The sequence below is a fragment of the Homo sapiens genome, chromosome 2, assembly GCF_000001405.40.
Source record: "Homo sapiens chromosome 2, GRCh38.p14 Primary Assembly".
In the NCBI taxonomy this organism is placed as follows: domain Eukaryota; kingdom Metazoa; phylum Chordata; class Mammalia; order Primates; family Hominidae; genus Homo; species Homo sapiens.
Genome location: NC_000002.12, coordinates 18,482,462 through 18,510,426, shown reverse-complemented (window position 1 = coordinate 18,510,426; position 27,965 = coordinate 18,482,462). Strand labels below are relative to the sequence as shown.

Genomic DNA, 27,965 nt, shown 5'->3' with positions numbered 1-27,965 from the left:
GCAGTAATCCCATTCACGAAGGCAGAGGTTTCATGAGCTAATCACCTCCCAAGAACTTCTAATACCTCCTTCTAACACTGTCACATTGGGCTTTCGATTTCAACATATTAATTTTGGGAGGGACACAAACATTCAGTCCATAGCAAGTACTGCCTATATAAACATTAAGATAATGTCTATGGGCATACAAGACAAAACTAAACATGTAAGTTAGAAAGCGGGTAACTAGAGCCAATGCAATCTAAAATTATTACACTGTGCAGAAAGGGTAAAAATGTTGATTAATTTCAGACTTTTATGAGTTTAGAGTTTATGCCTTAATTTCTATGGTAATTGCTAAAATAACAGAAACAGAGTGCATATTTACTAGAGGTTAAAAAAATAGAATGATAAAAACACTTCCCATCAAAGTTAAGACAGAAGAAGAAAACAATATAGAAGAACAAATAGAAAGGACAAAATTATATAAAAGATAAATCCATATATAACATACAATATAAATATAGAATAAATGTTCTAATTAAAAAATAAAGATTATTAGACAGATTAAAATATTCATGTGGAAGCTTTTTATAAGACACATATATAAACCATAAAGATACAAATAATTCAAAGTAGAAACATGAAAAATAAATACTGATCACCCACAGGAACTGCTATAGCTATACTAATACCGAACAAAATAGATTATAAGGCAATATGCATAAAATATAAATAGCATCACTTTATAATAATACATAATTTTATTTACTGAGAAAATATAACAACTCTAAATTTATAAATGTTCATTAATATAGCTTCAAATATAGTTTGCTAAAGTTGACAAAATTACCAGAAGAAATAAGTAAATTCAGAATCAGAGGAAGAAATCTTAACACACCTCTCTCAGTAGCTGATAAAAGTTCAGTCTCCTCTCTCTCAAAAAAAATAAAAATAAAAACCCTAAAAAATCAAAAAATAAATATTGGACACAATTTTTTAAACATTATATTATATATATTATATTTTTATTGTATGTTTTCTATGTTTAGATAAACAAATACCATTGTGTTACGATTTATTCAGCACAATTTTTAAAAGAACAGTTCATTATTTAAAAGATCTTGGCAACAAAAGTTGGAAGAAAATATCATTAAAAGAGGGTTTATATTAATAAAAAGCCTGCTACAAATATAATTAATGGTTGAAAGTTTTCCTTCTGAGTTTTGTACTGCGACAAGGAGGGCTATTGCTCCCCTTTTAAAAAATGATTATACTGAATATCATAAACAGTGGGATAAAGCAACAGAAAGACATCATACAAATGTTAAGAATTAGACAGAAACAAAATTGTCATTATTTACTGATGAAACAGCTGCATATGTGGAAATTCAAAAGAATCTGTAGACAAATTATAAGAAAGAAAAGTTTCTGGGATCTCATATTATATATATATTTAGCTAGTCAACAAATATATGATTTTTACAAAATATATATTGCATATATACATTATCATATATACATTATACATTACCATATTTATACATTATATATGTATATATATTTGCAGTAAGTCACTAGAAAATGAAATTTTAAATTATACAATTTATAATAACATCAAGAAATAGAAAATATCTAAACATAAATCTTGCAAAAGTTATGCAAAAGTTTTACAGAAAATATTGTGAAACTTAGATAAGAGTTATTGCAGAAGACTTAAGTAATTGGAAGAATATACTGTGTTTATGATATCTGGAAGACTTCATATTTTAAAAATGTTGATTCTTCCCAAATTGGCTTATAGGTTCAGTGCAATGTCAATCAAAATTCTAAAAGAGGGATGTGTGTGCGTGGAACTTGAAAAGTTGTTTATCATTTTTTTTTCTTCAGAGACAGGATCTTGCTCTGTCTCCCAGGCTGGAGTGCAGTGGCACAGTCATAACTCGCTGTGGCCTCAAACTCCTGGCCTCATGTGATCCTTCCACCTCAGCCTCCCAATGTACTGGGATTACAGAGGTGAACCACGGTGCCCAGTCTGACAAGTAGTTTTTAAATGTATATGGAAAAGCAAAAGGAGAAGAGTGACAAAGACATTCTAGAAAATAACAAATGAAGAGTATTTGCTTTAAAGGAAATAAATACTTTCTGTGAAGCTATAATAATTAAGACTGTGGTATTGGTTCAGGGCAAGGAAGTAGCAAACAGTACAACTCAAACAAAATTATGTACATATGAACCCTTGAACTGTGATAGAAGTTGCATTTTATTTCATTAAATGAAACATATTATTTTCAATAAATGATGCATAAGTATATTGACCAACAATATGGAAAAGTGAAATCAGACTGTTATCTCACTTGGTATGCAAAAATTGTTGCATGTCATTTAAATATCTAAGAGAGATGAAACTATATAAATGAAATAAAATTATATAAATGTTTTCTATAATAATATAAGAGAATATCTTCATGGTCTTGGAATAAAGAAGACAAAAATTTATATGAGTCATAAAAGAAACAACTAGTAATTTAACGTTATTAAAAATAAGAGCTTAGGGCTGGGCGCGGTGGCTCACGCCTGTAATCCCAGCACTTTGGGAGGCTGAGGCGGGTGGATCATGAGGTCAGGAGATCGAGACCATCCTGGCTAACACGGTGAAACCCCGTCTCTACTAAAAATACAAAAAATATTAGCCGGGCATGGTGGTGGGCGCCTGTAGTCCCAGCTACAGCGGGAGGCTGAGGCAGGAGAATGGCGTGAACCCGGGAGGCGGAGCTTGCAGTGGGCCGAGATCGTGCCACTGCACTCCAGCCTAGGTGACAGAGCGAGACTCCATCTCAAAAAAAAAAAAACTTCTATGTATCAAAGATATCAAAGTTAAAAAGATAACACTAAAAGTAAAACTACAAACCACTGAATTGAAAAGTATCTGCAGCACATACAACTGACAAATATCAGCCATCCAGAACATTTAAAGAACTACATACATCCTGAAGAAAAAAAGAAACAAATGAATACAAAAAGATAATGAAAAGATATGAACTGGTCTTTCTAAATTGGCCATAAGCTTATGAAAAGTGGTTTAACTTCAGTGGCAATCAGAGACATAAATATTGAAACCACAATGTGAAATTGAATGTCAAAAAATTTTAAAGTTGCATAATATTAACTTTGGTAAGATGTTTCACTCGTCGCTGGTTCGAGGGTAAATTGGTACAATCACTTGAGGAAACAGTTGGCATGATCTCTTGAAGATGGAGATTCATGTACTTTACGACCAGTCTTTCTAGACTTGCTGTATATACTATAGAAGCCTTTGTATATGCGCTCCAGAGGACACGTATGAGCATATTCGCAATAACTGAAACTGGAAGTAACCTAGCTGTTCCCCAGCAGTAGAATGGCTACCTGCATGACAGTTTCTTATACCAGGGTATTCTATACAGAAAATAAGATAAATGAACAGCAGCTGCGTACAATAACATAAGAAAAATCTCTAAACATAATGTTCAATAATGAACAAATCATGGGACTGTACATATATATTATATATATGCATATGTGTATATATAATATATATATGCATGTGTGTATATATATTATATATATGCATGTGTGTATATATATATAGCTGTGTGTGTGTGTGTGTGTGTGTGTGTATACAGTGATTCTTTTTGTAGGAAGTTGAAAAATAGCCTAAACTAAATAATGCTTTTGAGGAAAAATTTTAACAGCATTAAAGCTCAGGAAAACAAATAAATGATTATGATGATAGTTAGCATAGTGGTTACCCCTCTCGGATGAGAAGAGGATTACAATTGCATAGAGGCAGACACAGGGCTTCTGGGGTTCTGTAGGTGCCCCATTTCTTGACCTGGGTGCTGTTTTCACAAGAGTAGTTCTTTATAATCATTCATAGAGCTATACATATATATTTTATATATGTTTAAATATAAATTTTCGCTATCTGCAAATGTTTTGAATAAGGAAGAAAGGGAGGGAAAAAAGAAAAAGAGGGGGAAAGAGGAAGGGAAGAAGGAAGGGAGTTGGGCAGACTTAACTGACGCAAATGCCAGATCCATCCTCCCCCAGGGTTGGTATCCAAGCCATTGGGCTTTGCTTATTGTTTGGATGATTGCATCCACACCCGGTCTGGATACCTTCCTCTGGAACCTGATGGAGCCACCACTCCAAGTTGCCAGTGCAATGAAATTATCACATGTTGAATTTCATACTGACTTTAACCTTTCACCTGTGATCTAGATAAACTTCAAGCTGACAACGCCTTGGATTTCAAGAACTTAAGCCTGCACTTTGCTTCTATGAGGAACTGCCAATGTTTTGCCCTCAGGCAAAGAGGAAACCTGATTTCTTTCCCCTGACCATGTCTCAGAATGTCCAGTTCCAGCCGTTAAGATCTCTCCCCTGCTGCAATCTGCTAATTAAGAACATACTCTGTCACCTCTCTCGCTCTCCCTCTTCATCTTCCTCTCCCTTTCCCTCTTTTCCCCTCTCTCCACCTCATTTCTTAATTTTTCCCTCCTACTCTTCCTCCCTTTCATAACATTGCATCATTTCTGATTGTCCTGCTTTGTGATACAGTTCAGGGAGGTTTGACACAGAGAAGAACTGTCAGTTCTTTAATCACTTCTTTATTATCAAGATAGGGAGAGAAATGCCATTATCTTTCACAACTTCACTTTGTGGGACAGATGTATTTTTAGTAGGCTCCAGAGAACTGAAACAATTCTATACATTAACATAACTTCAAAATCAACCACTTTCTCATTGATACAATTTGGAAATAAACTGAAGTGGGTATAGTTTCTTGCTCTTCTGTCCCTCCCAGGGGACAACAATTAGTGAACCAACCACTCATATGGAACTCTCAATTGGCCACGTGAATAGAGTGAGTGGGTAAGTGTTCATGTTCCTAACACATATAAAATATAAAAAGAATTTAAGAATATTACAATCTATACATAGATATATTTCATTCTTAGGATCTGCTCTAGCTAAAATAAAAATGATAATCTACCTACTAATTATTAAGCCACTGTTATATATAAGGTACTATGATAGTTGCTTGCTATACACTATTTAATTTAATCTTCAATAGTTCTACATGTATGTATTGTTTCTTTGCAGACTGAAGTGAACTGAGCTTATAGTGCATATGGGAAAAGTTTCTGTATAGTTCAATCTGCATCTAATTTATGCATGGATGCTTAGCAACTGTCAGAAAAGCATTCTGAACACTCCTCCATGGGGTGAACATTAAAAGATTCTTTTCCTCAGGGATCTAGAACTAGAAATACCACTTGACCCAGCCATCCCATTACTGGGTATATACCCAAAGGATTATAAATCATGCTGCTATAAAGACACATGCACACATATGCTTATTGCGGCACTATTCACAATAGCAAAGACTTGGAACCAACCCAAATATCCAACAATGATAGACTAGATTAAGAAAATGTGGTGCATATACACCACGGAATACTATGCAGCCATAAAAATGATGAGTTCATATCCTTTGTAGGGATATGGATGAACCTGGAAACCATCATTCTCAGCAAACTATCGCAAGGACAAAAAACCAAACACCGCATGTTCTCACTCACAGGTGGGAATTGAACAATGAGAACACATGGACACAGGAAGGGGAACATCACACACTGGGGCCTGTTGTGGGGTGGGGGTAGGGGGGAGGGATAGCATTAGGAGATATACCTAATGTTAAATGACGAGTTAATGGGTGCAGCACACAAACATGGCACATGTATACATATGTAACAAATCTGCACGTTGTTCACATGTACCCTAAAACGTAAAGTATAACAAAAAAAAAAAAGATTCTTTTCCCTCAAACAGGAAATTTTACAATTGTGTCTTAGAGTTTTAACTAAGTCTGAAACATTAAACAAAAATGAAAATGTAAGAGATAGGATTGCATAAGTCACGGGGGCATCAAAGAGGATCGGGTGGTGGGAGTAGAAAGTGTGGAGATAAGATTCCTAAAATCATTGCATGATACCCTCAGAAACCACTAACAGTAACTTCCAGCCTCAGCAACTCCCTTTGCTTATCAATTTACAACATGGAAATGGGTACATCACTCAAAGTCTATGTAGCAAATATTCGTGTCAATGGTGCTTAAAAATTCTGTCATTTTTTCCCCAAAACCCCTACAGAGAATCTCCCACACTGAAAATTAAGCTCAAGGAAAGTTTTGCTTCTTGCAATTTAGCAGTTTTGAGTTTTTCGTGCATGGGCGCCACTCCACCCCATCCCACTCCATCCTAAATTGAGTTTGAGGCTTTTTTGTTTTCACTCTTGCATAACATGAAAACGAGTGAACACATTTTACTCAAAATTTCCATCTGCAAATCCCCTAAGTGGTGTGAAAAATCCTGGAAAATCTCAGAGCAAAAGAGGACGCTAGGAAAAATCAGGACAAGTGGAAACAGCAGTGAGGGATGTAACCTAATGTCTGTGTCAACACAACCAGTGTTGCTCAAAGACGTCCGCTCTGCAGTGAGGCTGGGCTGCTAGGTCAAAGCCATGGCTTATTTCTGTTTCACAGTGATGATCAGGAAGCACCTGCCCCCATCAACAACCCAACATGCCTCTCCATTGTCCAGATCCTATAAAAATGATGCCCCAAAAGCAGCATTGGCTCTAAAGTAAAAAAGAAAAATTGGAAAATTGACATCAATATGGTCAAACAGGTATGAAACAGAACATTATTTTAACTAGCAAATTAGAATTCACTTCATATAGAGATATATATACACATATATATTTGTATACATACATATATGCATATGTATGTGTATATGTAGAGAAATCCACAAATATGCATATGTAAATAATATTTAATTGAGATGTGAATACGTTTTAGTATGTCTGATATAGTGTGGCATGGGCCTCTTAAAATATGGTCTTTGAAAAGCCCTGCTCAGCTTGCAAACATTGCAATTTGTTATTCCCTCATTCAAATGGATAAAATTGCTAAGTATGTGTCACTTCAGTAAAGCCAAATAAAACTGCTATTATGCACGGTTCTTGAAAGTATATAACTTCCTTCAAAGAACACAAAAATGTAGTCGAGGAAGCCGGTCATTTTAAAACAAGAGAAATTATGGCATAATTTTAAAAAGATAATTAGCAAATGACAATATAAACAGGGGAGAGCGAAAAAGGTGATTCTGGAACTGCTATAGGAAAGACCACATGAAGAAGCTGGGTCTTGGGTTAGGTCTCAGAGTGGGGCTGAAGATGTGGGTAAAGGGGGAGGAGTATGTGCTAGCATCGAGGGAATGATGGGGCAGGCAGATGGGGGGTGTTGAGAGAGGGGCCACAGTCTCAATATCTTTAGTGAACTTGGCTGTGCACATTCATAAAGGATGCTGGGAAGAAGCTTTTACTGGTAAGATTCGTAATATTTAATTATGTAAGTGTTAGTTATGTAACATTTAATAGCTAAAATTTTCTCTGTCCACCTACAGAGTCAGGAGCACCAGTAGATTCTTGAGAGAGCAGCCAGTAATGGGCCAGCATCAAAGAAGCTGATGAGGGACTTTTTGCACCCCCACACCTAAAGCAAGAAGATATTGAGGGCCCAGACTAATTACTTCTTTATTCTATTCTGGGATGTCTTCAGAAATCCTTTCTTCGTGATGTGCAATGGATGCTATCATTTCAGTCACCATGATGTCGAAGTGGGAATCGATATTTGAGGGGAGGGAAATATCCCAACCCTGACCATCTACTGGTAAGACTAGCCTCTCTTGTGTTGGTGGGACTTTTATATTCCAAAGAAAGAGTTAAAAAATCAATCTGTGTTCTACGCTCCCACCACATTTTGCTTCTATTATTCTGTAACGGATACCTCCTTCCTTGTGTTAGCATTCAGTGCACACATGAATACCCCACGTTGCTCACATGTGGACAAGGCAGTGGTGTCAGAGATACTTCGTCTATCTCTGTATGCCCCATACCTAGCACAGGGTCTAGCCATTGGGAGGTGCTCAGTGAGAGGAATAAATGGGAAAAATATCATATGAATAAATAAAGACAACAAAACTGCACACTCCTACAAATGATGTCATATCTACATACATATATGCATACATTGAGAGAGAGAGAAAAAAGTGTTGAATTTCCAGAAGAGATATACTTTAAAAAATTTTTACAGATGAGCAGTAATGCTGGTTTCTTCACATTGCAGAAATTGTTATTGTGAACCACTGTTTCCAAATACCCACCTGAGTATAGAAATGAAACTTTGGTCCTAATAGCAGTAGTGGGTTTGTGTTTCTTGTTCTCAGATTACAGAAATAATGAGGTTAGTGTTGTGTGGAAGGAGAATTTTCAAAGAACACAACTGGGTCCAAATCTAGCACCCCCAAAGATTGCTTTTGTAATTTTAAAGTGAGTGTTCTCTTGGAGGATGAATTTCTCCTCTGCAAAACTAGAACATAATGATATCACTATTTACAGCAGTTGCTATGAGGATAATACACATGACAATACTCTGTTAATTGTTAAGCATTATAAAAATATAAGAGAAAAATACTGTGTTTGCCTCAAATTTAGAACTCCTTGCTTTTTAACACTCTGCAAAGCGTTGAATGGAAAGAAAAAGGAATATCCTACAGATTGAAAACCATGCAAAAGAATCCATGCCTTCATGGTTACCTCTCATCCAGAACATTCCCCCATATCCTGGCTGCAAACTCCATGGATTTCCGAAACAAAAGATGTTACTTTGTCTAACCTTTGACTCCTCTCTGATGAGGAAACAAAGCCTCAGTAAAGGAAAGTGGCTTCTCCAAGTTTAGAGAATGGGATCCCTCATAGGGGAATCTGAACATGCTCTGAATCCTAACTCACCTCTTTCTCCTGGGCCACGCTGTCCTCATGAGAAAATATGTCATGTTTCTGCATTTGAGGTTGTCCATGTTTTCCTTTATTCAGTTTCCTATGTGAACAAAAAGTATGGCTGAGGGTTTTGTGGGGAGGAAGTTGAGGCCAAACAATGTTCTTGCTTGTTTTTACAGCATGCACCATGAAATTAGGGTAATAGAGGTTGAGATGTTGTAGAACCTAACAGAAAGATGATAGGTTTTGGAATCAAGCCTGGGTTTGAATTCTGACTTTTACCCCGGTCCCATGCCCAACCCCCTAAGCACATACAGCTTACTCTGAAATCATGGGAAAGTTATTTAAATTTTGTAAGTTTTAGTTTCTTTTGTAAATGGAGGAAATTGATAGAAATCAAGAGTTGTGCTGTGGATAGTTAATTGAGCTCACATTTGCAAAGCACGTAACACAGTGCTTGGTTCACAGATAGTCAGTGGCGATGGCTATTTTCTTATAATAGTATGATTAAAGAGTTTTATGCTATAGTCCATGGTTCTCTGCTTTATCTAATAATGGGATAGTAAAACATTTCCTAGAATAGGGAGAAAAACAAAAGGAGACTATTAGATTTATATAAGCAATTTCATCTAATTTTGGCTAGTTCCTAAAATTAGTTTTTTTTTTAAGGCTGACCACTAAATGCTTTTATGATTATACAAAAGCACAGAAAGAGCACTTTGGATTAATAAATGCTTGTTAACAAGCTAGAAATATGAAACAAGATTTGTAGATGATATCACTACTATGGTAATGGTTTTCTACAAAACTCAGAAAAATTTAAAAATTTGACTATATGAATTAATATTCCACATGCATACAACACAAGAAATTTAATAGACACAAATTTATGATGATCAGTTTTGGACAAACTACCCAAAGATGAAGGGGAAGGATTACTTAAGTTGTTCCCAGAAAGCGTGGTGAACCACAATCTATCTGGGAGTTCACAACGTCACAGTGAAGCATTGCTACACACTCACTGGGATGTGTTCCAAGTGGCATGTCATATATAGCCCGTGAGGGAGAACGTTTCATCTACCTCATGCATTCTTTAGATACAAGCAACAGATTCAGGTATGGCCTGGCACTTACATGAAGAACAGCTATTATTCAGAGATGAGAAACAAATATGAACAGAAAGATGGAAAATAGTTGCTATATGAGACATATGAAGTCAGGTATAAGTTTTGGTTTGTAGCATCTGCTTTGAAGCAGCAAAGTATTTCTTTCTAGGGTCTTTGATTGACATTGCATATAACAATACTTTTCTTAGTGGATTGTTTAAAAATATGTTTGGCCGCACTTAACAACAAAGTTTCAGAAGCTCTAAGGATATACATATTTTGTTTATCTATTACACAGAAAAAGTAATTAGTTTGGGGTCAGTATGATAGCTCCGAGGTTATCAGAAATTTAGCCTAACTCTGTTTAAATTTTCTACTTCTTTCATACGTAGCTTCTTCCATCCTCAAGTTTACTTCATGTCATAAGATATGAGCTGCGGCCTGACCACTCCATACACATTTCAGGTAGCAGGAAGGAAGAAGGAGTTCAGTTGAGTCAGTCTTAGAGCTTTTGGGGAAGCTCTGCCCACACCTCTACTGCCTTGACTTGCGTTTTATAGATCATTGACCCCTAATAGCTGCAAAGGAGGCTGAGAAATTTCATATTTTATCTCTGCCCTTTGCTGCACTGAATAAAGTCAGGGGGGTGTTTTTAAAATAGAAGGGGAGAATGGGTATTACGTAGGCAACTAAGTCTGTTCTACAATTGTGCTTCCCAGCTAACATTCAAACTGGAACTTCACTGGTTGATGTGATTTCCTGAAGTCAGAGAGAAAATCTCTTTTACTTTTACAAAAAAAGTTGTATTCCTGAAAAACATTTAATACTGATTTACAGCTTGCAAAGAATCTTTATACATATGAGCTATTTGATTCTCACAGCAATCATGGACTGCAGAGAGAAAATGTAATAACGTACACACCATTGAATACTATGCAGCCATATAAAACAATGAGATCATGTCTTCTGCAGGGACACGGATGGAGCTGGAGGCCATTATCCTTAGCAAACTAACGCAGGAACAGAAGACAAAATACTACATGTTCTCATTTGTAAGTGGGAGGTAAATGATGAGAACACATGGACACATAGAGGAGAACAACACAAAATGGGTCCTATCAGAGGGTGGAGGGTGGGGTGAGAGAGAAGATCAGGAAAAATAACTAATGGGTACTAGGCTTAATACCTGGGTGTTGAAATTACCTGTACAAAAAACCCACATGACACAAGTTTACCTGTGTAACAAACCTGCATATGTACCCCTGAACTTAAAATAAAAGTTAAAAAAGGAAATATTTTGTGGATATCATCAAAGAATAAAATAAGCTTAGAAAAGCTTAACAAATTGCCAAAGGCTAACCAGTTAGTAAGTGGATGAAACAAGATTTAAACCAGATCTGACAGACTCCAAAGCCCACATTCTTTTGTTGGAAAATTGATTAACAAGCTGTCAAGTCCCCCTAATTATTTTTTAACTAGGAAGTTATGATTTTCCACTTATTCTATCCTTTATTTGTAGCCAACTATGTCTTTAAAAAAAAAAGGTTAGCAAAATCAAAGTTATTTAACTTAGGGTGGGCAAAGGAAGGAAAGGAAAGCAAAGAAGGAAAGGAAGCTAGCTCACATGTATTATTTACTAACTTCTTTTTAAACACATGACCTTATTCTACCCTTCCAGCAGCTGTGTTGAGTAGGTAATATTATTCCACTGATGAGGAAACTGAGATCAGAGAGGTGATGAAACTCTTGTGAGCTCATCCTGTCAGTAAGTGACAGATGAGGATTTTAGCACCACTCTTTTTGACTCCCTACCTGAACTTTAATTTATTAATATCTCAAATTATTTGAAAGGTTGTTTCCTGATTATTTATCCATATGGAGGTGTGCAATAATGAAGAGACAAAATAAAGTAAAAGCTATGTTAGTTGAACAGTAGAACTTCTGAATAATGAGAAGAAAATCAAACAAAGAATAACAGCCTGTAAATATTTGAAGTATTTATTACTGCCTCTTTAGGAAGATCTCAAATGGCCCTTTGTCCTAGCTGGTTTAAACATACATTTGTTTTAAAGAGGAACGGCCTATGGTTTTCTCAACTGACATTTTTTAGTTTTAGGTTCACAGTAATAATACGTAATACTGAATACTAATATATGACTAAGGTTACTAAATATTGCATGAGATATAATTATATATATACACACATACATATATATGTTATTTATCTTAAATTCAAATTTAATGGAGTTCCTATATTTTCATTTGCTAAGTCTAGCAATCCTATATGTGCCTATATGCATATGGCTTCATTTAATTCTTGCAACAGCTCTTGATAGGGTTAGATAAGGTTATGGATATCTAGGGAGGTTAATTTCAAGATCACACAATTACAATATGAGGATTCACATTCATATATGTCTGCCTCATAGTCTATGGTCATAACATATTTTCTCGAGGGTTGCAGATGAAAACAACCTTGACATTCTCTAACCATTAAATCATTTAACTATTTATTGATTATTCTAAAAGAGGAAAGGGAGCCCATGAAAGCTGTAAAGAATAAAAAATCTGCCTCCTGAACAAAGGCTAAAGTAGGTGATGCTTTTAATATCTTCCAGATCATTAAGAGAAGCAAAGAAATGTCCTTTTTGAGAATCATTAAAGCAGTAGTTCTCAACAGGGGGAGATTTTCACCCAGGGGAACATTTGGTGATATCTGGAGACATTTTTGGTTGTCACAATTGGAGGTACTACTGGAATCTAGTGGGTAGAAGCCAGGGATGCCAAACATCCTACAATGCACAGGTCAGCAGGTCAGCCTCCACAACAAAGAATTATCCAGTCCCCAAATGTCAATAGTGCTGAGTTTCAGAAACCCAAATTAAAATAATCTGTTGAGGTTTTAACATTTCTGTTTTTACTTTAAGATGCAGAACTGCATGCAGAGAGTTGGAGGGTGGAGGTTTGGGGGCTTCCATGAAGGGTGTCTATATTCCAAATAGTAAAAAAAAAAAAATACATATATATATATATATATATATTCCTGCATTCTATGGAATATGTAGGAGAAGCTGGCTGGAGCCCTTTGGAAACTGGCACCTAACAGTGTGCCCTCATCATCTTTAGAAATCAAAGCTGGTCTTTGCTGTGCTATCCTTCCTGTGTTTTCTGATGGTTCAGTTTTCTTCTTTGTGGTGATACTTGCATTGGTTATTGATAAGGTTTGGCTCTGTGTCCCCACCCAAATTTCGTATTGAATTGTAATCCCCACATGTTGAAGGAGAGACCTGGTGAGAGGTGAATTGATCATGGGGGGAGTTTCCCCCTTGCTTTTCTCATGACCATGAGTTCTCAGAAGATCTGATGGTTTAAAAGTGTTTGGCAGTTCCCCCTTCATGCGCTCTCTCTCTCTCCTGCTGTCACGAAAGATGTGCCTTGCTTCCCCATCACCTTCTGCCATGATTGTAAGTAAGTGTCCTGAGGCCTCCCGGCCTTGGGGAACTATGAGTCAATTAAACCTCTTTTCTTCCTAAATTACCTACTCTCAGGTAGTTCTTTATAGCAGTGTGAAAGGGGACTAATACAGTTATATGCAGACTATGCTGTGCACTGCAATTCTAATCAAAGTGTATCTTATTTTTGGACAACTCAGTTACAAAGGCCACACGTGAGTGAGCATGGAGGAAAGTTGAGACTCCAAGTGTCCCCCATCTGCATTTGACCCTTTTGTCCTTACACTCATACTGCCTCTCCAGATGTCCCTGTCTGTCTAAACGTTCGGGAAAAAGGGATTGTAACTAAACGACTGGATTAGCATAAAATGCATGGAGTTAAACTACCTTAAATTCAATCTCATTCAACTGATTTTCTCAGTATGTAACCATGGACAGTTTTTAAGAACCTCTGAACACCATATTTATTACCAGCAAAATGCAAATAATTATATTCATCTCACAGGGTTGTGGTAAGGATTATGGAAGATAAAATACCTTAGAGAAATTATTTTATAATTTAAAAAGCATCATTTAAACAGCTTAAAGTCGTTATAGACTATTTGCAAAGACGGTTTTAAAGCATATGTGTTAGGCTAAAGCAGCTATCCATGTTTGTAGTTTATTCATTCTATTGACAAACTCAATTTTATGTACCGTGATGTAGAGAGCATGCCCTCCCTCAACCAAAGGAACAGGACTATTTTGCTAAATGTGTTTGTTTAAACACTTTCTCCTTTTTTTGCTGGGTAGGTGGCAGGGAGAGCAAAGTAACTTTTTCTTCAAACAAATAAATGCAAGAAATACCCCCATTCTGGTTGACAGAACTTGGTAAACAATGGCTAGCTTTTAAATGTTGATGGCCTTAGGGTACAATTGAGTTTGAGTGGTGCCTTCAGCATCTCTTGACAGATGAGAATTTGTAAAGTGAGAAACACCAGACTGACCTTGGCTCTGTGTTACCAAACTCAAACAGACACGATTCTGAGTGGGAGAGCCACCCTCTTCCAAGGAGCTGAGCAGGGGTTCGGGTTCTAGTGCAAAACATTTCAGGGGCTGGATTCTTTAAAGTTTTTTTTTTTTTTTTTAAGTGGAGGTTTCCATAAGGGCTATATTAATTTCAGGATTCTCATTTTTTTCTGGTCCATGTCAGAGTTACAGAACACCCAGAACCAGAGGGAGGCTGATATTGAAAATGGAGAGACATGAGTAAAGAATAGAAAGACTTGCCTGAAGTCGGATCTAGATATCTTTTCTCTTTCCTTCCTGCCCACCCTGTTCCTCGCAACTTACCGTACTGTATTATTGTCTGTCTACTTTCATGTCCTCTTCCCCATGAGACTGTGAACCCCTTGGGGACAGGGAGTGAGTCTTTTTTATTCTTTAACCACAGCACTTTGCATGTAATGCCTATTATATAGTTTGAGCTCAATAAAGGAGGCAAGGGGAAGGGGAGGAAGGAAGGAAGGAAAGAAGGAAGGAAGGAAGGAGAAAAGAGAGGAAGGAAAAAAGGGAGGGGGAGGGAAGGAGAATGTAAGGAAGGAAGAGGTTAAAAATGAAAGAAAGAAAGGAATAAGGGAGGGAGGGAGGGCGGAAGGAAGGAAGGAAATAAAAGAGGGGCAAAAAGAAAGGAAAGGAGAAAAGGAGAGAAATAGGAAGGGGAAAGGAGAAAGGAAGAGGTGGCTTGATTAAATTTGATCTTGCACTAACAAGAGTAAAATGAAATTCTTCAATCCAATGAAGTTTGTCAGACAAATGGTTACTACCTTAAAAAAAGTTATCTCTCTATGAGAAAGCGTAAAACAAACTCTAGTTCTGCAGCAATTTCCCAGGACCTGGCTTAGCACCCTCAGGAACCTCATCCTTCTTGACTTTACCTTCCCACCCAACTCTCTTGGTCTCCTCATGAGCTCCCCTCAATTCCTTGCTTATTTGCCCTGGTGTATTGGCATTTATATTTCACTGTCCCCATTTGAATGTGGTGATCCAGTTCTGAATATGTCTGTAACCTGGCAGGAAACCCACAGGACAGTGCTCCCAACACCATCAGAGGTGCCTCTCTTATATCTCTGGGCATAAGGGCACACACTGGTGCTGTGCCCAGGTTCCTGGACACCAGAACCATGAACCCTGCCCCTCATAAAGGGAATTAGAGAATGATGTTTTCAAATAAGGCCCCATCACCAGACAAGACCTACAAAACACTGGCAGTACATTCCTGTATCAAGACACACCTGAAGCCAGCACAGACCCTGGATTCAATCTACATTTGCAGAAGTCAGTGAATTCTCCTTCTGCTTATGCCAAGGTTAATCAAGATGCCTTCACTAACTGACTGATAGCATGAGTGAAGCAACATTTGTCTGGCTTTGAAACTTAGGTTCCTTCTAAATGACAAGGCTGTTCCCACAAGGTTCCATCCCCAGGTCTCTCTGAGGGTGTTTTGGTGGGTTGTCAGGCACACTTGCCCTAGAAAAGCTGCAGAATTCCTCTCAATACTTCGGCAAGAACCGATCCATGATAAATGATTTGGATATTGGGCTTTCACTTAATACTTCTCTGGAATATTCCCTTGAAGCTGAATAACTAGCCATTGAAAAGCAACTGCCATATGCCATTCCGATGGCTCAGTTGAAGCAAATTAGTGAACTCTCCTAATTTTCAGCTGATTCAATCATGAATGGAAGTTATGAGTTGCTGTGAATTGAACACTAGATGTGCTATCTGTGTGGTTGGTATTTTACTTGCTTCTTGATGGGCACAAACTGTCAAGCCCAGGGTGTCTCTTTTACCAACTATCAGAGCCTACCACTAGATAGCTAGTATTAGCTTTAGTGTATCTGAAAAGCTTTCAGATGAAATAATAATAATAAACACATTTATCTGAAGGAAGCTCTAAAGCATACATAAATCTTTTTACGTAGACTAGGCTAAAGTAACAAAAAAAGTTTATATATGTATCATTCAATATGATAGGAGTTTATTTCTAAATAAGTTAATGGTTTCAGGTATGTCAGTGGTGAGGAAAGTGACTCTGCTCCATGGGGTCTTTCAAGAACTTTAGGATGATAGCAGCTCTGCAACCGTCAACGTGGTGCTTACAAAGTTACCATGGTGGGGCGGATGTGGTGACTCCAATTAGCTTTAAAGATTAAAAGGCATGGAGGAAGAAAAATGAGAGGTTTTAATGGGCCACAGCTGGAAGTGGCACTCATACTTTTATTGGCTGGGGCTTAGTCACATGGTCACTTCTAGCACAAGGGAATATGAGAGATGTAATTGAACTAGTTCCCTGCTCAGGAAAAATGGAAGAGTAGATTTTTATTGTACAGATGAAGTAAATTTCTGTTAAAGGCAAAAGAGAATTTGTTGATTTGTAGAGAAGCATTGGTTTCCCCAGGAAAATAAGAAACAGGAACATATTGTTTGGGGGTTAGGATGGGTGTAGTAGGAAGACAGGAGTAGGGGACCAAAAGAGAACGTGAGATGGTTGGAAAGTCCATCTCTGCCACCTTGTTCAAATGTCTGATCACCAGCTGGGAAGTAAGCATAGTCTCTAGGATTCTTATTGCCACACAGTGAAGGCAACTCCTCCTCTATAAGGTCTATGTAATTTGGTATCTCACTCACAATAAGAAATTGAAGTTGTAACTACGATCTAGAGAACCTTGCCATGCCTGGAGCCCATGAGAGAGGTCCAGTTGCAGAGACAGGATATTTCCAAGGGCAGTGGTGTTTTGTGATTTAGGAGTAAATGAGTAAGTGAGTAAGGAGGTCAAATCCAAGTTCAAAAAGAAAAGTTTGATTTAATAATTGAAAAATAGTCAAATGAATAATGGCAATCACCATAATGACTACATAGACCCTTAATATGTTCAAAAGCAGTGAGCTTTAAAAAATCTGCATGCATTGGATTTTTTCATCTTTCTCTACTGTTTTCATTCTAAAACCAAGACGTAGGTGGAAAATTTTATTAGCATCTGGGTGAGGCCCCGTGCCAGTCTTGAAATATTTCATTAATCATTGAGATTCTCACCCTCTTTTTTTTTTATTTTTTAGAACAATGACTCACCAATAGCTGCACAACAGTCAGGACAGAGGTAACTGAATTTTACATTTTTAAGCTCTGCTTCTTAAAAAAAATCTTCACTTCTGAAATATAAGACTGCTTTAAGTGAATATGTATGTGTTTATGAGAGAGAAGTGGGAAAAAGAAAATTAACTGCAATTGAGAAGTGATACTTATGTTTAAGATTTTCTTTCCTTTCCAGTTTTCCGTATTAGTCTTACCCACCTTTTCCCCTTGGGGAGAAGGAGTCCAGGGAGCTGCTGGAGGCACCTCTCATTGTTTGTACTTCACCACTTAATTGAAAGTACACTGGGTCACATACTCTCCCATACCTTTTATCCAGAATGTTCTGGAAAAAAACACAGTGAGAAGAGAAGAGGCAGAAAGAAGTACTTGGGAATCAAGAAAGAGGTGACGTGACAACCTCTCCCTTCACAGGAGACTCACTCTAACTGAATTTCTTGTCTGTCACAGCACATGTCCGGAAAATTTCATTTTAATTTGCCTCAGCTGGGACTACAGTTACTGTTTGAAAGAAAGAACAATCAACAAAGTACCTAGGAAAGAAGACATCTTGCAACACTCTTCAATTTCTTCTTAAATGCTTGGGGGAAACGTGAAAAATTTTGATAAATAGGAAAACAAAATTGTTGGCAATAAAATTAATAAACAGCTTATATTTTCTTCCTTTCAAATTTACTGAAGTTTTAATTAAGAGTTACACTTTCCTCTACATGTCATCAGCTCTCCCTGAAAAATTTACAGATTGATTGGCTTATTAGTAAATGGGCTAACATCTCCACACTCATATATAGACATATAGAATTGTGCTGTATAACATCCATACATGTGGGAAGACACTTTGTCTTTTTCCATCAGGTGGACCTGCTCGGAAGAAGGCATCCCTGGCCTCTGTCTTTTTTGACTCAGGTGATTGGGGGAGTTATTCTATTGAGTTTCCAGGGCTTACAGGCTCCTTCCTCTCCTGTAAGTCAGCGCACAGTCTGGCTTGCTCACCCAGGTCAGCAGCTGCAGGAAGAAGAAATGGAAACTCTCTTCATTGTCATCAAGTCTCTTCCTCTGCCAAAGAACAATTGATCCCTGCAACTTCTAGCAGAGGGAAGAGGCTTTCCAAGGACAGCAGAAGGAAGAGACAAACTAACCCAAATGATCAGCATCCCTCGGGACAGGGAGTTGTCCAGAAGCGAGCAGTAACAGGAGGGAGAGAGATGAGGGCAGTGGAGATGCAGGAGGAGCAGAATGTCCTGGGCTAGCCTTTTAGGGGCAGAAACCCAGGGGAGGTCTGAGAACCTCACTGAGATACTTCGACACTTATTGGGGCTCTTTTGGTAATATAATGTGATTTTATTCCTTTTTAAATATATTGCCTAACCTGTTATTGGAATCAAAGGAGATCTAATTCTAATTAAGCAATAAATCCTTAAGACAAAACTTGAAGAAGTAGCCACAGGGATAGTTAATCATCAATGGTCTTTGATGAGTACTACTTCAACTTTGGGGCTCACAGAAAAGCACTCGGAAATGTGCCCAGACTGTGCTGGGGCCAGGCATGTGAGCTGACCTCACACACGTGAAAGTGAAAAGGAATTAAATGGTTAAACAGGAACCCCTGAAATAAAGACCAAGTTTACTACTAACAAATTTTTTCTGAAAGGAATACTAAATCATGTACTTAACACAAGAAGAAAAATAAACCCAGAAGGAATGAGATCCAACAAGAAGTAATATGAGAAAAGATGATGGTAAAATATGGTGGTATGTCAAAATCATATCGACCACAAATATCAAAAATATTTGGGGAAGTTAACGTCAGAGTGTGATTTAATTACAAGGCAATCAAAACACAGAGGATGAGAGGAGGAAATTGAGAGGGAAATTAAAGCTTTCCAAGGTTCTTGTCTTATTTGGGAAGAGAATGAGATATTAATTTTAGAGTTGGTTAGAAAGGTATAAATTTAAGTTTTCATGTAACTTACTATTTTTCTTTTATTAAAAAAATCTCAAAAGCAATTATAGGATTAACACTGATTAATTCTGATTACTGAATACTTGGATGATTGACATTTTCTGCATCTTAAAACTGTTCACCAAATTTAAAAAAGAAAGAGTAAGGAATGGAAGAGAAAAAGAGAGAGAGTAAGGAATAGAAGAGAGAGAGAGAGACAGAGAGAGAGAAAGTCCCAAGTTATGGGGCAAACTGCTGAGCTTTGAGAGGAAGTTGTAGAACTATGTAAATAAAAAGAAGCCATTCTGAGGCTAACTGGAAAAAGAGAACAGTGACTTTGTATAGAACTGTTTGAAGGAAGCACATCTCTACGTAAATCAATCTATAAAGACAGTTCGTAGGGAAGAAAGGTAATTCCATGGGTAAAAGCTTAAGATTTTCTGTGTATAATAACAAGGAAATAATAAAGTAAGATGGCAGATGGAGAACAGAACCTAAGACAAGTAAGGGAAATCCAAAACAGACATGTTCTAGTACCTCCGACTCTAGCTAGGGGCTCCCTCAACAATTAAAATAAGCAGGATTTCAAACCTTGTATTAAAATTCCTGGTGTTTTACTTGAAATCAAGTGCACATATCACGACCATTCAAATTTCTGAGTTATGCCCAGTCTCACGTAGGACGAGGGCTCAGTTCTTCTCAGTGCTTTTGTCGTCTTCATAGTGTCCCAAGTTAAAAGTCTCTGCTGGTGGCTGGGTGCGGTGGCTCATGCCTGTAATCCCAGCACTTTGGGAGGCTGAGGCAGGTGGATCACGAGGTCAGGAGATCGAGACCATCCTGGCTAACACGATGAAACCCCGTCTCTACTAAAAATACAAAACAAAAAAAAAATAGCCAGGTGTGGTGGTGGGCGCCTGCAGTCCCAGCTACCCGGGAGGCTGAGGCAGGAGAATGGCGTGAACCTGGGAGGCGGAGCTTGCAGTGAGCCGAGATGGCGCCATTGCACTCCAGCCTGGGTGACAGAGCAAGACTCCGTCTCAAAAAAAAAAAAAAAAAAAAATCTCTGCTGGTTCTCCTCTAGATGGATACTAGGCCAAGGGAAGCTAGTTAACTATTCAGTTAGGTTCTGGTAGCAAGCGTATGCAGCCCATAAACCAATCAACTTGGCCATTCACTCCGATCTAACAGTGGATTTCTGACTGCATCTTTGTGTACAGGGTTACTACAGGCTAAACAGGCTAAGATGGGAGTGAGCACAGGAAGTGTGTGGCGCGGCCTTCCTGGGCATACTCCACATACTGCACGGAGAACACCTGAAAAATGCTTATGTGGTTGAGAATGACTTTCAAGCCTAAATATACTTTGCCTAATTAATCATTTAAAATGCAGTTTATATGAATAATAACAAATGACATTTTTAAAGAAGTTTACAGAGTGCCGTTATGAACGTGGTCTCTCTCAAATCTCCTAAAGGCTGTAAGACAGATACCTCTTGAGCCTTTCCCAGCAACTAGAATGTGGGGAAGGACCTTTTATAGGCCCTGCAACCCCTAGAACTGAACATCTTGGTCATCTATTAAACGTTTTCATTTTCGGCTTGTTACTTGTCTCCCCAGTTTTTTTCTTCCTCTGGTCAGGGTTTATTTGGCCAAAGTAGCCATCTATTGTTGCATCTTGGGATGCACTTGAAATAGTCCCTGCGCCCATCAGCCCATATATTATGAACACTGGGCTCTTGGTTGTCTTGTCCAGAGTGTGGCTTACAGCATAGCCTAGCCCAGGAATGAGCACACAGATTTCTATGAAGAATCCTTAGCTTTCTATGCTGATAGATTATTATTTTGGTCCTTGAAGGAATGGAAGGAGTAAAACTGGATATTCTATTGGTATGGTGAGTTTCATCTCTATAGAGATAAAGACTTAAATTTTCTCCTTGATCCTATAGTCTTGTTCTGTCTCTAGGGCTGCATGGATGGAAATATACTTTTTTCATTTTCTATTGAATCTGCTTTTAAAAACAGATTAAACAGGGTGGGAAGTTTATTTTTTCTATTTTTGGAAAAAGCATAGGATATTTTGTTTTGTGAATTCTTGGAAGATTGGTATTTAAGGCCTTTTTATCCATTTCTGGGAGATTTATAAAATTCAAATTCAATACAATTTTGAACACATTTAACAACTGAATTTATTCAGTTTATCTATGTGTTATGTTCATAAAAACAACTACACTTATATCTATTAATTTGTAATTTTTAAAGTACTTTCTTTGTGCAGTAGCTATTTCTGTTTCGATGACACCCACAGGGTGAACAGGAAAGAAAATAATTTATCTTTCCTGCTCACCCTGTGGGTATCATCGGAACAGAATGATAGAGAAGCTTAGAATCATTGAGATTAAGTCACTCGCTCAGGGACACATAGCTGGTAAGGGACTGGAAAGAATCTTTAGGCTCCTAACACAGTAGGCTTTCTCCTAAACTGCATCACCTTGTGAAAATATTTATGGAGATGTTAAAGGCCATTATATGGCAAAGGAGGCTAAAAGTGAGCAACATTTTGGCCATTTTCACACAGGGAAGCTTTTGGCCTTAGCTTCCTAAGCATTACCATTGTCCACAAAATAAACACTAGCCTCTAAATGTCCACTTAACCTGGCCACCCGGCAGGTAAGGCCTCACATGGCCCAGAACGCTTCCTCCACCTATTTGGGATTACCTCAAGGGGGACCCAACTAGACAATCTTGTTCTTCTAAATGAAGCCCTGGGGTGAAAGTGTCTAAGCACAGACTAAGTAAAGTAGCGTGGTAAAAAGGTGGGCACTGGCATCCCAAAAAACTTGGCTAGACACACTGAAGGAAAGGCCCCATAGACATGGTCTATACTATACTGGTCTGACCACCCCTTGAATAAGACAAACATTGAGCGTGTGTGTGTGTGTGTGTGTGTGTGTGTGTCTGTGTCTGTGTCTGTGTCTATGTGTGTACCAGACACATGCTTGGTGTTCCTTCATTTATCATTTTATTAATTCCTCTGGGAAGTAGGCATTGCCAACCCAATTTAGAGAGAAGGAAACTGAGACCTAGAAGTGTCTTGCTGAAAGACACACCCCTTATGAATGGCAGAGCTGTTAAACTAGAAACCGGGTCTGTCCAAATCTGAAGTTCATATTCAGACAGTTCATTTAGAGCTCAGTGGGAGGCAAAAGAGAATCATGGTTAAGGTCATGGTGAGGGAATACCTAGATGCTTTTCTGTTGAGGGAATGGCTTTTGATTGAACTTTTTCTTTTCAGGCTCAGGGGTACTGTGTGGAGTTGGAAGGGATGGAAGAATTAAATATCAGGGTAAAGGTATCCAGAGAAAATGGTTTCAATGGCTTATTTTATAGCCATGTCAAAGGTAATTGTGTCCCAGTATCTGTTTCACTACTTAACAGCACACTTTCAGGCAGATTGTTAAACATTATCCTATTAAGGCCAAATAGTCACTCTGTAGGAATGAAGTTTTGTACATATTCTTGTTCCCATAAGTTATTAGGAAGTTTAAAAATTGTCCATTACTCAGTGTGAATTGCCAAAAGGAAAGGCATAGAGCAATTTTTCATTTTTTTATTTGGAAATCAGCTTGGAACTGAAATGAATAAACAATGAAATGCATGTACTTTAGCCACTTTGGATGTTAGAGCTGGAACACAGGTGGGAAGTCACTGGCCCATCCCCTGTCTCTGGAAGGAGCTCTGGTTAAATAGACACAGGTCTGCCGTACTGCAGCTGTTCTCAAAGAGGGGCAATTTTGACCCTACCCCCCAGCCCCTAGGGAATATTCAGTAAAGTCTGGAGATATTTTTGGTTGTCACAATCAGAATGTGCTAGTGTCATTTAGCAAATAGAGGCCAGGGATGCTGCATGTGACCACACAGAACAGCCCTCCATAATAAAATATAGTCTGGCCCCAAATGTCAACATTGCCAAGGCTAAATTATCCTGCCTCACTGAGACAAAAAAATAGGGGCTACCCTTGGAGTAGATTAGTAGGATGCAGACACTCAATGTGCCCCTAACTCTCATGTCTATCACCTTCCAGGTATAATAGAACAAAGTTAGCAAAGAAGGAGACCAGGCTAATACTGGACCTAGAACGCATTATGCATTTTACTGTGCGCACTTCAACTTGAGCTCTGATCGATTTCCATGTGTTTCTGCAATGCCAGAAAATCTAGCCCTACTAAATCACTCCTCTTCAACATCGCCTGTCACAAAGCACTACCATTTACAACGCGCTTGAATTTCTAGCCAATAGGTCTGTGCAGAATGTACATCTTAAAAAAATAATGACATTCTGGACAGTGAGTTCCCAATCACAGCCTACTGCAGGAAATTAATAACTTCTCCGAGCAGCTGTTGTAACCACTGACTTCAAGAAATGATAGTGTAATATTAAACTGCAGATTACCATCTTTTGAGGGAAATAATCTCTTTAAAATTGTCCATTCTCTGGTTTTAATGAGAAAATTGGACATTGGAATATTGATGTCAGAATAACTAATTACTTCTCATAGTTTCCATTTCAGGTTACAAGGGTATTTCAGGATTTAAAATGTGTCTAATGCAATTCTGTATCCCCTGATTCAGATATTTGGGGATACTGAGGCAAAATTACTCATGAGCAGCAGAACAAAGGGTTAATGTGAGGGGTAGAAAGATGGCACCTTCTTAGCTATACCCTTTGACAGCCTCTATACTGCTTTGTCTGCTGCTTCAAGACAGACTCTGGGAGATAGCTGGGAGGCTGTGCTCTAGTTCCAGCTAGGCCTAGCATCACTTCTATCCAGAGACCTAAAGAGCATTTGAGGCATTCCATAGAGCTTTTAACAACAATTTGAGTCAACCCAAATGGAATATTCTGTCAGTTCTGGCAAACAAGATCACTGATTAGCAAGAGAAACCAATCTAATTCCCAAAGTTTACCCCACTACCAGGCACATGGGGATGGTCAGAGCATCAACGGAAGGGGACAGAACCCTGCACTGGCAGTTGGCACCTCTTCCCAGCTCTACTGCTGACCTGGATGCCTCTCCTATCTGCTCTGCGCAGTTCTGTCATGGTTCAATGAGCAGGCTTTTGTAGGTGTCACTGAGCCTCAGCCTTCATGCTCAGCCAATCCATGAGGCAGCAAGAGGACATGGGTCTGCAGCCTTAGGCTGTCTCTCGGTCTGTCTCAGGGAAACCTGGGGAAGGAGGGCTCAGTGCTGAGGCTCTCTGCGTGGCTCTGGCAACCCCTTGTAAAAGGCACACATTAAGCTTGTTCTGTGCAGTGATTTACAAATGAGAGATGGAAGGGAATGGGAACAGAGCTATGACAGAGGAGAGAATGGCACATGAGCAAAGGCGAAGTTTGCTGAGGGATGGCAAGCAGTTCAACCAGGTGTAGCAGATTGTATGTGGAGGAAAGAACAAGTGGCTGGGTTAAAAAAGTGGGTTGAAAAATCTGGGAAGCCAGATTGTAGAAAGTGTTGACTGCCCAGTGAAGGAGTTTGGGTTTTCCATTGTCTTCACCGGGCAGTCAAGGCATTTATATGACTTCACATTTACATGTTGACACCTCTGTCTCTTCAGCTATAGAGTGGGATCCTTGAAGTCAGAGGCCTGTTCTTTCCCCCCATCTCCAGGCCTCAGACAAGGCTGAGGTGGACAGGTGGTGGAGAATCCACTCTTTTGCTTTCAGATAGGGCTGCTGTAGGATAGCCCAGCCTCAGGTCTGTGCTGCAGTGTAAGCTGAGCTCCATAGTTTCATTAGGGAGCAAGGACTTGCACCGAGATCGCTACTCCAGCCAAGAAGCAGGTGAGATGACCATGGGACATCCCCACCTTCATTTGCTTCTGTAACTCTGAAGGTATTTTTCTTTCCTCATCTAAAAATCAGCTGCAAATGTGAGCCCAGGTACAGACATTATCAGGCTGGCTCACACCCAGATTAGGCTGGCACCTTTTTTTTCTGAAGTCTACTTCTAGAGCAGTATCAGTGTCCAATGTTATCAGGAGCTGCAGAGACTTGAGCCCCAATGCCTTTCCCAGGATGGAATCACAGGGCAGTTGTGTTGGGCAACAGGAAGAGAGCAGGATGGATAAGGAAGGAGGCCCTTGAGGCATCAGGCCAGAGAGGAGAAGTAAAACCATTGAGATATGTTTCCCTCTTTGTGTAATCAAAAGCAGGTTACTCTACTCTGAGCCACCAGTTCCTCAACTTTAAATAGGGATTACAAACCTACTTTGCAAGAATATTAGAAGAATTAAATAGAATCATATATACAACCTAGCATGGGGCCTGCTATCATGGACCCTACCTGCATGCCATGATGATATGCAAAAGGCATCTGCAGGCCTTCCTCAATCCATTAAGTTCAACACTTAATAATCAAATAGAACTTCCAGCCAAATCTGACTCTGGGTCCTCTAAATTCCACCTGATTTTATAGTCAGTTAACAGCAAGGGTGTCTCCCTTATTAGTGAAGCATAGGGGCCCTTTACAGCCTTTGTGTCCCTGAGTCCTTGGCTTCTAGCACAGTGCCTGTAGGCAGGACGTTACAAAATTATAATCCAAATCCAGTTTTTTTTTTAATTAAATGATTTCTATTTACAAAACAAGACTTTTTTTTCTGGGTTTTCTATTGACCACTCCACCCTGATTTTAAAATCTAAGGAGAAAATGACCCGTGACTCTGTGATTACCCCTCTCACTGGAGCTCTGTTAGGTTTGCAGAGTCTCTGCCAACTCCTAACATCTGGCACCTGACCTCACTCTTCCAGGATTCAGTTTCCTCATCTGTGATAGTCCCTTTCTGGTCTTGCAAAATGTGTTTCTGTGCCTTTTACAAGAACATGTTGGACTAAAGTTTCCAGGGACATAAACTGTCAGACCTGGATGGGGTGGGGGACCTCATGAGCATCTGGCTCAAGTTTCCTAACGTCCCTTGAGTCTCAGTTCTCTTTGAGAATTTGATGAAAGCGGTGACTGCTGAACCTAGAAAAAGGCACCAGAAGGCACAACGGTGGATGCAATCTCAGGGGTTTCGTGACTCTCCTAAAGCCCCTCTGAGGATCCCAGGCTAGGAACCCTTGGTCTAGGTTCAGAAACCAAGGCCCAGAGAGGGGAAGGCTTGTTCAAGGTCATCCAATAAGTGTGTGAATAAAACTTCAGCTCTTGTTGCACATTTTGCAGCGACTGTCTCTCATACATGCACACATGTCAGCATTACTGTCTGAAAGCATTTTTCATATATATTTTCTTACAGCAGCTCCATAAACTCATCTGAATTGGTATTATTACAAGTGTCTGAAATACATGGAGACCATAAGGACTCTGTAACTTCCCTAAAATTCAACAGTTAGGAGAGAGTACAGGTTGGACTTTAAATCTGGGAGTCCTGATTCAAACACATTTGCTCTCTGCCATGTCACAGTTCTGCAAACAACCTAGTGTAACCTTAGGGAGAGTGAAATAGAGGCAGAAAGTGGCTTGATAAAGAACCACAGGAACAATGCAGGTGGCTGATTAATCCAGACAGGGAGCATCTAGAAAGGCTTCATGGGCCTTGGATGGGATGGTACAAAGGGCAAGGAAGGTTTTGTCTGCCTGGAGGAATAGCATGGGCAACATTATTCCAGGTACAGTAAAAAAAAAGACAGAGACATAACTTCATCATGGGAATATGGAGGTGTGTGGAGAATAGCAGGTTTCCCAGTCAGTGAAGCTGTCAAAATAAACAAATGGAATCATTACTATTCTATCACTTTAGCAAGCACCACCATCAACACCCTAGCGGCTATTCTTCTGTATTTACATGGGGTAAACTAGTTTCCTATCCAGGATCCAAATGCACTTTACATAGTTATTTTCAGGGGGCTAAAGTTTGCTTTAATACTTCTTAGCAGGAGATCACTTGTTTCCTTTTTCTGAAATCTTTCCATACAGTAAGTACTTTATGAGGAGACAGCAATTTATTACAAAGGGTAATGAAGTTTTGTGTATTGAGTCATTCAAGTGTAGCCACCTGCTGGCAAAGATGACATTATATCTAGTTGATCTTCATAAAGTGTAAGAATGCTTCAAATATAAGTGTCTGTAGCTATATGATTGTGACAATTCTAGAGGTCAGCTTACCACAAAAGAGATTTGCCCCTGAGATCCTAGTGCCTGGAAAAGAAAGTTTTAGAATTAAGTGTAGTAAATTTTATAATGGTTGATCTTGTATATGTCCCAACACAATTTACTCAATTCCTCTAGAAGGAAGCATGGAGTTTTCTAGCCAGGAAAAAGCCCTATCTCTGGACACAGGACTCTTTCTCACCTCAGACTGCCTTTTAGGATGGGGGCATCCCATTTCCACCCTAAATACTCCAGAAACCTGTTGTTAGTTTTTAAGTGCACTCTATGCAAACTCATTTGTTTGGTTATTTGGCAATTCAT

At 38.8% G+C, this 27,965-nt stretch overlaps 1 long non-coding RNA gene across 1 annotated transcript in view; it reads right to left on the bottom strand.

The window, feature by feature from the left end:
• LOC105373454 (uncharacterized) overlaps positions 1-27,965 on the bottom strand; it is a 148,852-nt gene that overhangs the window by 24,966 nt on the left and 95,921 nt on the right. The window contains exons 5-6 of the long non-coding RNA XR_001739302.1: positions 17,760-17,883; positions 8,881-8,968 (exon numbers count right to left, since the gene is read on the bottom strand). This is a non-coding gene — a long non-coding RNA (uncharacterized LOC105373454). The remainder of the gene's footprint in view (positions 1-8,880; positions 8,969-17,759; positions 17,884-27,965) is intronic.